General features: G+C 41.1%; 1 protein-coding gene across 2 annotated transcripts in view, besides 2 other annotated features; it reads left to right on the top strand.

The window, feature by feature from the left end:
* Positions 1-13,411, top strand: part of EYS (eyes shut homolog) — a 1,987,247-nt gene that overhangs the window by 1,372,793 nt on the left and 601,043 nt on the right. The window lies entirely within an intron of this gene.
* Positions 3,184-3,478: a silencer, noted in NCBI's record as "tiled region #1709; HepG2 Repressive non-DNase unmatched - State 12:CtcfO". NCBI's record gives its function as "represses a minimal TATA promoter and a strong SV40 promoter by Sharpr-MPRA in HepG2 cells {active_cell/tissue: HepG2}" and the evidence as "EXISTENCE:reporter gene assay evidence [ECO:0000049][PMID:27701403]".
* Positions 3,263-3,422: a silencer, noted in NCBI's record as "silent region_17312". NCBI's record gives its function as "represses an Ori minimal core promoter by ATAC-STARR-seq in GM12878 lymphoblastoid cells {active_cell/tissue: GM12878}" and the evidence as "EXISTENCE:reporter gene assay evidence [ECO:0000049][PMID:35858748]".

Raw genomic sequence — 13,411 nt, 5'->3', positions numbered from 1 at the left:
ATTTTTTCCACAGTACTTATTTTTGTAAACACATTTCTTCTGATTCTTTTTCCACCTTCATCATAGCCCGGATAGCTTAGATCTTCCCCTTGCTGCAGTGGGAGTAGGAAAAAGGATGGCCTTATTTTTCCTAATACACATGCCCCTGTCCATTTATCAGGTAGTAATTGATAAGCCTTTGTTCCACAGATCCAATATAACCCTGCAGGTGCTCTCCAAACAGTTGGAGCATCTAATTGGTACTATGATTGATTTAATGTTGGGAACAGCAAAAAAGGATTACAGTCTGACACAGAGGAATTGTCTATAAAGCTTCTTCATTGTGTTATGTTCTTGGATTCTTCAAAATATTGTTGACCTAGGCAAGTTGTTTCCCCTACCTGGTTCTGAAAGGCCTTGTCAGGCGATACAGTATTTTCCGATGATGGGGTTCCTTAATAGCTAAACACTTGGATTTGCACTGAATTTTGTAGCAAATTCGGGCAAGGTAAAATTGTCTTGCGGCATCAATTCTTTGGCTTCCCAGGGCCATTGACCTCCCAGATTAGTACCTCCACATACATAACATGAAGTAACTCCGAAATTGTTAGCAATACTTTTGGCTAGCTGGGTAAACACATTTTCAACTGATATAGGAGGAATTTGAATTTTTGATACTTCAGGATTAAAGTGTTCCTTGAAAGATTTATAAAACCTAAACTGTTGCATTGGGGTAACTTAAACTTGGGTCCTTTGGGTTTTCTTCGTGATGACCAGAGGAATACCAAGTCCTAGGAGAGCTCCTGCCTGATCAAAGGTTAGTAGCCCTTATCCATTTTAGTCCAGAAAGGCATATTTGGCTTTAGTACTGTCAGATTGAGTGGGTTGCATGTTCCAGTTGTGCACCCTATCTTCACTTCTTGGCTGGCAAACAGAGCAACCCTTCCTGTGTATAGTTGCTGATTAAATTCATCATGGTCCACTGATTTTAACAATCAGGGCACTCTTTTTTGGACTCTTCTATTACGGCCTTGGTGGCTCTGCTGCTGACTTTTTCTTGTCCTAGAGTTTTACAGATGGTCCCAATATTATTTAGTTTACTGGGATGTGCAGCTTGGCAGCAATCAAAATATATGGAGATAGGCCCTTTATTTGAGTAAGGGAATACTTCCATTTTGTTTACAAGTTTGCCGACCCCAGTTTCTGTGGGGTTTGTATATGATAGCATTAGGGGTTCACCAATTTGGACTTCAAACCAGAAGTCATAAGGCAAGAACTCTGGTCATAACATTCTTGGGCTGCCTGTTTCCAGGATCACAGACTGAGTAACTAGTCTGGTTATAGACACAAGTTCCTGTATGAGTCTCTGTATACTCATAGTAGGTCTGGTATAACAGAGTTTTAGTCACACCTTTTCTGGACCAGGCTTCTACTATACAGTGATGACAGTCATCCTAGTCCCCTTTTATAACCATAGGTGAAAGTATAAATGGCTTTAGTATTACTAATATGATTAAACTCATACTATGCATAAGCACCCTTCTGGGCAACAAGCTTGGCAACATTTGCAAAGACAACATGACAGTAAAATAATCAGTACAAGTAAGAGTATAACTATGCTTGTAAATTCAATCCACATTTACTTATCTATCATTGATTTCCTTAGGCTTCGGCCATGTGTAGACTAGTCAGCTTCCAGTTGTGTGACTAGAGCAGGGCTTGATGTTTCCTTAAGCTTCAGCTGTGCGTGGACCGACCAGCCTCCAGTGTGGATGGAGCAGGGCAGTTGCCCTTGTCAGTAGTGGCTTGGTCTCACCACAGGATCAGCCGTGTCAGGTGGTCTGGGTTTTATTGACTGGTCCACTGGTCCTGAGTTGTGGTCACTGCTGGTTTTAGCTGGCTATGATGAACCCAAGGTGTGATACCTGCAACTTCAACAGCAGTGAGGTAGACAAGATCACAATATGGGGACCATCCGATAAAGGCCCTAAGGTGGTTGGGTTCCATCATTTGACCCAGACAGAGTCTCCAGGTTGGAAGGGATATACTGCATCTGTGAGACTAACAGGTATTCTTTTCCTTACCCACCCTTGTATTTACTACATGGTCTCACTTAAGGCTTGCATTTGCCTTCTTAAGGTTAATTCCCCAATTTATTTTAAATCCCCTTTTATCTGAATTATGATTGAGGGTGGTCAGCCGAACACTATCTCACAGGGTGAATACCCGGTTAATTTAGTAGGGGTGCACCTGACATGGAGAAGGACCACGGGCAGCACCTGATCTCACCTTAGATGAGTTTCTTGACAAAACTTCTTTAACAGCTGTTTGAGTGTCCAGTTCATTCTTTCAACTCTTCCAGAACCCTGTAGGTGATAAGCTGTATGCAGTTTCCATTTGATTTTTAACATCTGCGTTAGCTGTTGTACTATCTCTACCACAAACACTGGGCCACTGTCTGATCCTAATGTTAGAGTCAGTCAAAATCTAGAAATAATGTCCTTTAGTAAGATCTTGGTTACTTCCTGAGCTTTCTCTGTCCTGGTGGGAAATGCCTCAACCCACCCTGAGAAAGTGAAGGCAAACACTAGCATGTACCAGTAGCCTCTGGCTTGAGGCAGCTTGGTAAAGTCCACAAGCAGGTTTTCACACGGTGTAGCTCCAGTTTCTTGAATCCCTGGGGGCCATGTTGGCCCCTGCCATGGATTGTTTTGGGCACAAGTTAAACATTGCTCACAAATGGCTTGAGCGATGGCAGTTAGGTGCAGCACATAGAAATGCTGTCCTACAAGAGTCTCTAATGCAGTTTTTCCCATATGCATTCCTTGATGAAACTTTTATGAACTGGGCGGGCGGGGGGGCTATTGGAAGGCGAGCCTCCCATCTGAGAACTTCCACCAACCTCCTTTCTGGTAACTTCCACTGTCCTGCTCAAATGCCTTTTCATTAGAGGAGTAGTTAGTGGGTTCTGTTAGGGGAAGCTCCAGTAAGGGCATGGTAAGGGTTTCCTCTTCCTTCTTAGTTACCTCTGTCATTGCAGCTCTTTTGGCTTCTCTGTCGCCTTTCTGTTTCCTCTAGCCTCGTCACGCCCTCCTGTTTGATGCCCTTTGCAATAGATGACTGCTACTTCTTTTGGAGCCCATATGGCTTCTAAGAGCTGCTCTATTTCCTTTTCATTTTTGATTTCCTTTCCTTCAGTAGTTAATAATCCTCTTTCCTTGTATATGGCTCCATGGGCATGCAAATGGCAAAAACATACCTTGAGTCAGTATAGATGCTTACTGACTTTCCTTTGGCCAAGAGCAACGTTCTAGTGAGAGCTATTAGCTCAGCTCTTTGGGCCGAAGTTCCGACCAGCAGAGGGCAGGCTTCAGCTACTGAATTCAGTGTTACCACTGCATATCCAGCCCATCTGACACCTTCAGATATGAAGCTGCTTTCATCAGTAAAGTATTCAACATCTTGGTATTTTAAGGGCTGGTCCTTTAAGTCTTTTTAGCTTGAGAAAACCTCATCCACTGTTTCCACACAACAGTGATACCCTGGGCCACACAATGGGGGCTTTCCATGCTCCACCCACTGTATTGGCAGCAGTGTGGCTGGATTTAGATTATTCACAGTCTCTAAGGTTATATAGGGGTTTTCACAAAAAAGTCCTTGATATCTTAACATCCTAGGGTTAGAAAGCAAGCGATACCCCCTCTGCTCCAACAGGGTGATGACCATGTGGGGCACGCAAATTATTAACCTTTGTCCAAATGTGAGCTTGTTAGCATCTTGCGCTAACAGGGCAGTGGCTGCCAATGCCATCCCATAGCCACCAAGTCTAGTCACTTGAACAAATATGCCATGGGCTGATATCATGACCCTAGTTTTTGTACCAAGACTCCTGTAGCTATTCCTTTTCTTTCATGGACATACAGGTAAAAAGGCCTTGTCATGTCTGGCAGTTCCAATGCTGGGACCTGGATCAAGGCCTTCTTGATTTCTTTGAAGGCCGTGTCCTGCTCTTTTCCCCACAGGAGGGGTTCTTTCCCCCCTCCCTTTGGTAGTCTCATACAATGGTTTTGCCGAGTGTGTAATTTGGAATCCAAATGTGAGACAAACCAGCTGCCCCTAAAAACTCCCACACTTGTTGTCCAGTGCCAGGTTGAGGAATGCCACACACAGTCTCTTTTCACTCATGTCCGAGCTCACGCTGCCCTTGAGAGATGTTAAAGCCAAGATACCTTGCTCTTTGGCCACAGATTTGTGCCTTTTCCTTAGACACCTTATAGCCAGCCTCCCACAGAACACGAAGGAAGCTTTCTGTGCCTTGAAAGCACTCTTCTTTTGTGGGTGCAGCTAACAATAAATCATCTATATACTGCAACAGGACACGGCGGTCACTTGGTGGCATGAAAGCCTTCAGGTCTGGGCTAGTGCTTCCTTGAAAATGGTTGGGGAGTTTTTCAATCCTTGGTGGAGTCTGGTCCAAGTATACTGTGATAAGCCCCACTCAAAGGCAAAGATGCTTTCAGGAGCTAGTTGGATGCAGAAGAATGCATCCTTTATGTATAAGCATGTAAACCAAGCACCATCAGCAGGAATTCGCCCAAGCATTGTATATGGGTTGGACACAATGGCATATAATGTAGCTGCAACCTTATTTACTGCCCATAAATCCTGTACCGGCTGGTAATCTCCGGGGGGCTTTAACACCGGTAGCAATGGAGTGTTCCAAGAAGAGGCACATCTTTCTATTATCCCAAATTTAAGGAACTGGTCTATATGCTTAGTAATCCCATGGGTGGCTTCTGCTGGAATGGGATTGTGACAGATTCACACTGGGTAAGTGCCCCACAGCAGTTCCACCACTACGGGTGCCTGATTTATGGCTAGCCCCGGGGGATTGTCTTCCACCAAGACCCCTGGCAGCTTGAGAAATAATTCCTTATACATTGCCTCATTTTCCCACTGGCAAAATGCATCTTTACAAATTTTGCATCTCTCATAGAGTCTCCATTCCTCTGTTGTTGGGACAGTAAGCGTCATTATGATGGCTTTTCTTTGACCTAGGTTTAGAGTCATGTCCCCTTCTAGTGTAAAGGAGATTTGTGCTTGCAATTTCTGGAGCAAATCTCTTCCTAACAAGGGCACCAGACAATTTGGCAAATATAAAAATTCATGTTGGACACATATTTTAGATTTGAAATAAGGCCTCTTTTCTGTTATTCCTGTAGCTCCAATTATATTGACATAATTTTTAGACAATAGCCAAATTGCTTGATTTACTACCGAGTGCTCCACACCAGTATGGACCATAAAGTCCTTTTTCCAGCCTCCTACCTCCATTGAGACCATAGGCTCCTCGGGGCCTAATGAAATGGAGCCTGGTCTGTCTCAGTCCTCATAATAATAATTGATTCCTGCCAGTCCGATTAAATCCATGTCTGATTTCTGAATCCCTTGACCAGCAGTAGGGGGTTCTGGCCAGCCATTTTGTCCCTGATTGTTGCCTTTATCCTTTTCTCTTTGTGGGCATTCATTCTTCAGTGTCCCATCTGCTTGCATCTCACACATTGATCTCTCTCAGGCCTAGGTCAGCTCTTGTCCTGGCTTAGCTACCTAGTTTTACCTAGCTTGTCCTCTACCACGACCATGACCACAACCACATCTTCTCACAAAACCAGTTTCTTTTCCAACTAAGGCTGCCACCAGCAAGTCTGCCTTTTCCTTAGCTCTGTGTCTGGCTTCTCTCTTGGCCTCCTCATCCCAATTTACAAATACATTAGTAGCCACATAGATAACCTGGGTTATTTAGGTGCCTTCAAAACCTTCTAACTTCTGAAGCTTTCGCTTTATGTCTCCTTGTGCCTGGCTTACAAATGCCACATTAACCATACACTGATTACCCGCAGCCTCTGGGTCAAATGGTGTGTAAAGCTGGTAAGCCTCGCACAGCCTCTCATAAAATTCACTGGGACTTTCATCTGGCTTCTGGCAGACCTCTGAGACTTTTCCAATATTGGTGGCCTTCTTCCCTCCAGCCTTTATTCCATTTAGGAGTGCCTCTCGATACCACTGCAAGCTTTGTAGCCCTTGAGCCTGGTTAGGGTCCCAGCCTGTGTCAGCCTCTATTGGGAGTGCTTGTTGTGCATACTGCCTGATATATCCTGTACCTGCAGGTGCATTGTTCTCCAGCCACTGGAAGGCAGCTTGTATAACTCTATGGTGCTCTTCTGTATTAAATAATGACTGAAGAAGTTGTTTGCAATCAGCCCAGGTAGGATTGTGAATTAGGAAATGGACTGCATTAGATCTATAAGAGCTTGAGGTTTCCCTGTATAAGAGGGAGTATGTTGTCTCCAATTTAAGAGATCAGTAGTAGAGAAGGGCTGATAAATTAAGAGCCATTCTCCCCCTTGGACTTCATTCTGTGCATTCAAATAAATTTGTTCCCATGTTTCTTGGAGGGGGATCTGCATTGCTTGGGCATGGCCTGACCTAAGGCGGCTGACCTCATCCCCCTGGAGTTCCTCCCTTCACTTTTCAGGCAAGGGCTCTGGCTCCTCTCTGCATGGTGTTGCCTGAGGGGTGCTTTCTTCTGAATCTGAACCTCTGGGGGCAGCTGGGGCAGCTTCCTGTCTAAGCCTTGCCAGGGATGGATAAATTGGTGCATAGAGGGCTGGACTTTCTAACTCTTCAGGTGGGGCCTGTAGGACGGGTTTTTTCTGCTTTTCCTGTGAATCCTTTTCTTTTACTGATGCCTTGCAATCTCTTTCTATGGTTCCTGGTTTTATCTGGGCCATTAGAGTCTTACAGTAGGTCTCAAAGCAGGCCTGCAGCCACTTAGGGTGGTTTTGAATTATACTTAGCCAGGAGTCAATATATGGAAACTGATCTGGGTGCCCAGGCTGTTCTCCAACCCCGGTGACTACCCGGAACACTTGGCCCATTATTTCCCTGTCTATTGTCCCTTCAGCCAGCTACCCTACATTAAAAGATGGCCGGTCTATCTCACAAAGGGTCCTCAGTTTCTGTGGAGTTAGCATAACCCAATATCATTAAAACCTTTCTTAAAATTTTTCAGCATGCACCCCAGTGGAGTAGGCTTTGATACTTTTCCTCCCATTTCCTCCCTTGCGAGGTGCTTTCACTCTCACTTTCACTCTTGGATCCACCAGACTGGGTCCTATTATGGGAGGTTCAAACACTGCTTAGCCAGGAGCATGCCTTAATTCCTGTCACAGCTAGCTGCAGCTGTGGAGCTGGTCCTATGGGCTGTATACAGTGTCCTAGATCTGGTTTTTCCCACATTCACCTCAGAGCACATAGTCCACACTAAGAGATCCGTGCCTCCCCACATCACGCCCCATGATGGTCTCTCCCGAGACTCTCTTCCACACACTTTCACACACCTCCTCCGTCCCTGAAACGGTTTTCCTTTCTGACTCGTGGGCCCCATCCACATCTGGTGTCAGTTAGGGTGTGAATTTTGTCCGAGTCAGTGGGCCTCTCCCAGTGTTCCCAACCCCCTCGGGTTGGACTAGTCATCATGCCCTGGGATGTGATCAAGCTCCCCTTCTGTCTTTATGGGATGGGTCTTGCCTTAGGGCCCAAACCTTACTGTGGTTCAGATGTCTGCACATGCTCCCGTGACCATCCTGCAACCCTTTCTACTGGTTCCATTTGTGCTGTTGGGGGAAGGCTCCAGAATGCAGGAGGGCCATTCTCCTTCCAGGCTGAAACTCTCCTGGCAGTGCCAAGGACCCCAAGTCTCCCACATCCTGGAGCTGTAGTCCACAGGTAAAGGAGACAGAAAATCTGCCATCTCCAATCCCAGATGGGCCCCCAGAAATGGTACAGGACAATCAAAGACTGGAGAGACCAAAAAAGGTTCAGGAGAGTTTATCAAATTAAGGTGATAACTGGCTCAGCCAGACATTTGTCCAGAAAGTCTGAGCCCCAAACAAAAGGCTTTTCCTACTTTTAAACATCTTAAAGCAGCAACTATGTGAGATGGGAAGCAAGTTACAGAAGGAAGAAACAAAGGCAGCATTACAACATTTCTTACATCTTGAGAGAAACATGTCTTGCGACCTAAACTTATTGGTCTTGTGACCCTGCAGGCATGCTAGGGAGGTAAGCAGTTTATTACGCTGGGCCTGTAATAAACTTTGAGGAATGTGGAGTTGAGGAGTATAGATGAGGTCCACTGACCACAGAGAGAAGACAGGCTGTTAATATTCTCTTTTAACTTGAGTGTAAGTGGGGGAAGGGGGTCACACTTTGCAGAAACTTTAAGTTTTAAATTTCTATTACTACTACTATTAGGTTATAGTTTATTTCATTAATTCCTTCTTCATGATGACAATATGCCTAGGCAATGAGCTTTTTATGATGAATTTCCCAGGTGTTCCTTGTGCTTCTTGTATTTGGATGTCTAGGTCTCTAACAAGGCCAGGGAAGTTTTCCTTAATTATTCCCCCAAATATGTTTTCCAAACTTTTAGATTTCTCTTCTTCCTTAGGAATACCAATTATTCTTAGGTTTGTTCATTTAATATAATCCCAGACTTTTTGGAGACTTTTCATGTTTTCTTATTTTTTTCTTTGTCTTTTTTAGATTTAGTTCAAAAACCTTGTCTTCAAGCTCTGAATTTCTTTATTCTACTTGTTCAATTATATTGCTGAGACTTTCCAGAGAATTTTGCATTTTTGTAAGTGTGTCCAGTGTTTCCTGAAGGTTTGTTTTTCCTTTATGCTATCTATTTCCCTGAATATTTCTCCCTTCACTTCTTGTATTGTTTTTTGGATTTCCTTGCACTGGGCTTCACCTTTCTCTGGTGCCTCCCTGATTAGCTTAATAACTTACCTCCTGAATTCTTTTTCAGGTAAATCAGAGATTTCTTCTTAGGTTGGAACTATTTCTGGTGAACTAGTGAGACTTTTTGGGAGGTGTTAAAGAGCCTTGTTTTATCATATTACCAGAGTTGGTTATCTAGTTCCTTTTCATTTGGGTAGGCTCTGTCAGAGGAAAGGTCTAGGGCTAAAGGCTGTTGTTCCGATTCTTTTGTCCCACAGGGTGTTCCCTTGATGCAGTTCTCTCCCCCTTTTCCTATGAATGTGGCTTTCTGTGAGCCAAGATGCAATGATTGTTATCTCTCTTCTGGATCTAGCTACACAGCAAGCCTACCCGGCTCCAGGGGGTTGTCTGCACAGAGTCCTGTGATATTAACCATCTGTGGTCTCTCAGCTGTGGATACCAGCACAGTATTTGAGATATCTCCAGGGTCCTGCAGGAGCACTCCACTTCCTTCAGAGGGTCTGTGGGTCTTCTTGGGATTCCTGGTTTGTTCTTTTAGAATAGCTTTTTTCTAATGCTGTGAAGAATGACTTTGGTAGTTCGATAGGAATAACATCAAATCTTTAAGTTTCTTTGGGCAATTTCAGTGATATTAATTCCTCCAACCCATGAGCATGGAACATTTTTCCATTCATTTGTGTCATCTCTGATTTCTTTCGGCAGTGTTTTGTAGTTCTCTTTGTGTGGTCTTTCACCTATTTGGTTAGCTGTATTCCTAGGTATTTCATTTTCTTTGTGGTTACTGTAAACAAGATTACATTCTTGATTTGACTCTCAGCCTGGATGTTATTGATACATAGAAATATACCGATTTTTATACATTGATTTTGTATCCTGAAATCTTGCTAAAATTATGTATCAGGTCCAGTAGCCTTTTGGCAGAGTCTTTATGGTTTTCTAAATATACAGTCCCATCACATTGAAGAAAGATCGTTTGACTTATTTTCCTATTTTGGATGCATTTAATTTATTTCTGTTGCCTGATTACTGTGGCTGGAACTTCCAGTACTATTGAATGGGGTGATGTGAGGGGCATCCTTGTCTTTTTAAGTTCTCAAGGGGAAAGCTTTTGCCCATTCAGTATATTGTTGGCTATGGAATTGTCATAAATGGCTCATATTCTGAGGTATGTTTCTTCAATGCCTAGTTCGTTGAAGGTTTTTACCATGAAGGCATGTTGGCTTTTATGAGAAACTTTTTTATGCATCTGTCACAATGATTATTTGATTTTTGCTTTTAATTCTGTTTATGCAGTGAATCACATTTATTGATTTGCATATGTTGAACCAACTTTGCATCCCAAAAATAAAGCCTACCTCATCATGGTGAATTAACTTTTTGATCTGCTACTGGATTCAGTTTGTTAGTATTTTGTTAAGAATTCTTGCTTCTATGTTCATCAGGGATATTGGCCTGAAGTTTCCATTCTTTGTCGTGTCTTTGCCAGATTTTGGTATTAGGCTGATGCTGGTTTGCTAGAATGAGTTAGGGAGGAGTCCCAAAGGCTCTGAACAATCCCATGTCAAGTTTGTAGCTGGACTGACCATTAAGAGCTGTCAAAAGTTAGGGTGATGGGTTCAGGCTGTTATTGTCCCTTTTTGACCCATTGTTGAATGTAAACTTCCCCCAGAAAATGGGAGTAAACTTAGATGATCCCACATTCTTGGGCTAAAGTACTTCCCAAAGAATGTTCAAATGTAAAGTCAACTTGCCAGCATCACTTCCAATAGTGAAAGGAGGATGAAAATCCTTTACTCCTAGAGGGAGATCTGGATGGATACCACGGCATCTACTGCACACTCCATATGTCCATTATGGACATATTTCTACTCCAATTCACAGCATGTAGTTGTACAGCATTTTATTTGGGTAAGATCTTGTAGATGGACATTTAGGATGTTTTCAATTAAAGGTAGTTTTGATGTATTGATTTCCCAAAATCAGTGTGAAGAATTAGCCCCTAGCTACTAGCTCCCTCCTCAAAATTTATACTGAAGTAGTTATATTTCAGTATAGTCGGGAAACATGAACCCAAATATATCACACAAATGTATAAAGAAAATTTATTGGATGACTCATAATTCTCAAAATAAATGCAAATATGTCCACACACAAATCTGTACATGAAACATCATAGCAGGAGTATTCACACTAGCCAAAAATGGAAACAACCCAAAGGCGAATCAAGCGATGTATAGATAAAATATGATATATCCATGCAATGGAATGTTATTCGGCAATTAAAAGGGGTGAAATACTGATACATGTTACAACATAGAGAAATGTTAAGAAAATTATACTAAATTAAAGAAGCCAATCACATAGGATGTGTAACATATCCACAATAGGTAAATCTATGAGGATAGAATGTAATATTAGTAATTCCCTAGCATTGAAGAAATAATAGAGACAAACTACTAACAGGTAAGGTGTTTCTTTTTGGGGTGACAAATTATTCTAAAATTAATTGTAGTAATGGTTGAATAACTCTGTGAACATATTAAAACCCTGAATTGTATTTTTAAATAGATAAATTATATATGATATGTGAAGTTTACCTCAATAAAGCTGTTAAACAATAAAGAAATCATGGGAAATTAGTATACAGATAGCTGCATTGAAATTATGTGTGTGAATGTCTGAGGATGGGGTAGGTGCTGTAGAGATTGTACTGTGGAAAAGAGCATGTCTGTTCTTGCTGAGAGAGTAAACTGGAGAGAAACAGACAAAATTGTGCTCAGGCTTTTCTGGTTCCATTGTCCAGAGACATTCTTTGCCAGTTTCTGCAGTGAAGAAATAATAACCAACAAAAACACTGATGCAAATATCCATGGAATAAACTTTCGGCTGCTTTGAAACCTTGCTGACCTGAAAACTTTAGAAACATAGCTTCAAATGTTGTCCTGTAATTTTGTCATTCCAATCCTCCAGAGAAAATGATTATTTGCCCCTGAGTTTCAATACTTCACCTCAACCACAAAACTTATAGAAGTTCCTATTCAGCTTCTGCAAATTTCATCTGCCACTTGTAAATTCAAAATATAAGAGGAAATGTCAAGATCAACACTTTGTACTTTCCTTCTCTCTGAGATATTGGCCCCTCAAGTCCTTGCTTCCGTGGTAGTTCCCTATAGCCTGTAAATATAATTTTATATGAATTATATCTAGTCATATTAATAAGAGACTTGGTCTCCAACAAGTTACTGTGCTGTTATCAGAAACAGAAATCTATCAGTCTATTTCCTTAAACTGAACTTTATCTGGGTTTCTACTAACATGATATTGCACCAACACCTAGCCCCACATATGCTATATGGTGATTTTGTTTGAATTAGAAAAAGTAAACCCTCTAGGTTTACAGATTTTTTAAAGCACACCTTTTCTGAGCAGACAGCTTGGGGAAAAAATGTCGATTAATTTTCAGGCTCTACTCCACTTTATCAGCTAGACTTTCTTTGTCAATGAACAATTTGCATAACCATATATGGTGACCCTGTGCTTACTACCGAGTATGTGCTTAGTAAATAGTTGTTAAATCCATGTATAAATTTTATATTTGTATGGGGAATTTGACTTAACCCACTTTCTAGTTTACTTCTACATGTAGACTATGTCCACTTGAACCACATAAATATTACAAAGTGCATATGACTTGGTGAATAGATCAAAGTAAAATAAAATTGATTTAAGTATCACCAAATTTTGTGAACTAAAGTATTCCTATATTTATATAGTTGTTTTGTCACTAAGTTGCTAAAGTCCCACATTTAAGATATTTATAGACTAACATGTGATAGTTGGCCTTATAGACAACAAATAATTACCATCCAATTTTTTCTTAGTCTATATAACAACTAAACATCAGAAACACTACATTAACATCCAAGTTCATCCATATGGCCTTAGAATCAGCACTTCCTACCAATTTCTCTCTTTTTCTTGATCTATTATTTTCCAAGTTCCCAAGCCTTGGAATGATTTATGAGAAACTAATAAATACTTAGTAGGCATTTAATAAATATTCATAGCATGGAATATCCTACTTCTTTATTTTTCTGTTTTCTCCTTTATGGCCCACGTGTAATTTATTAAAGTCATTAATTTACTCACCATAATATCACTCACATTCTTTCGACTTTTAGCTTGTGGCTAAAAAAGTATAGGACTAAATTACATCAGCCTTATATTATTTATTAGCTTTCAAATACTCCAGTCATTTTGAAGCTGGTACTAATGAAATTTGATTATATTATCAATGAATATATCAATAAATGAATAAACTAAGCCTGAGTAACATATAGAATTCAGTTTAGAGTAGATTCACCATAGGAGAGCAATAAAGTAAATTTTAAACATGATAGTGGAGAGACTGTAAATGTTTAAAAGATTAAAATTAATAAGTGTTCATAGTATTTGAATAACAAAAAGAGGGATTTATATCTGTAAAGTTGGGCAATCATTGAAGCATAAACGCTAAGCCAAGTAAAAATGTGTTAAATTTAAAAGGTAATACACAACAATATGAACATATTACTTAGAAACTTGAAAGTCAATAACAGAATAAATTTATGAAATAGTATGAAAA

This window comes from Homo sapiens, chromosome 6, assembly GCF_000001405.40.
Source record: "Homo sapiens chromosome 6, GRCh38.p14 Primary Assembly".
Classification (NCBI taxonomy): domain Eukaryota; kingdom Metazoa; phylum Chordata; class Mammalia; order Primates; family Hominidae; genus Homo; species Homo sapiens.
This window is presented reverse-complemented; position numbering and strand designations above follow the sequence as displayed.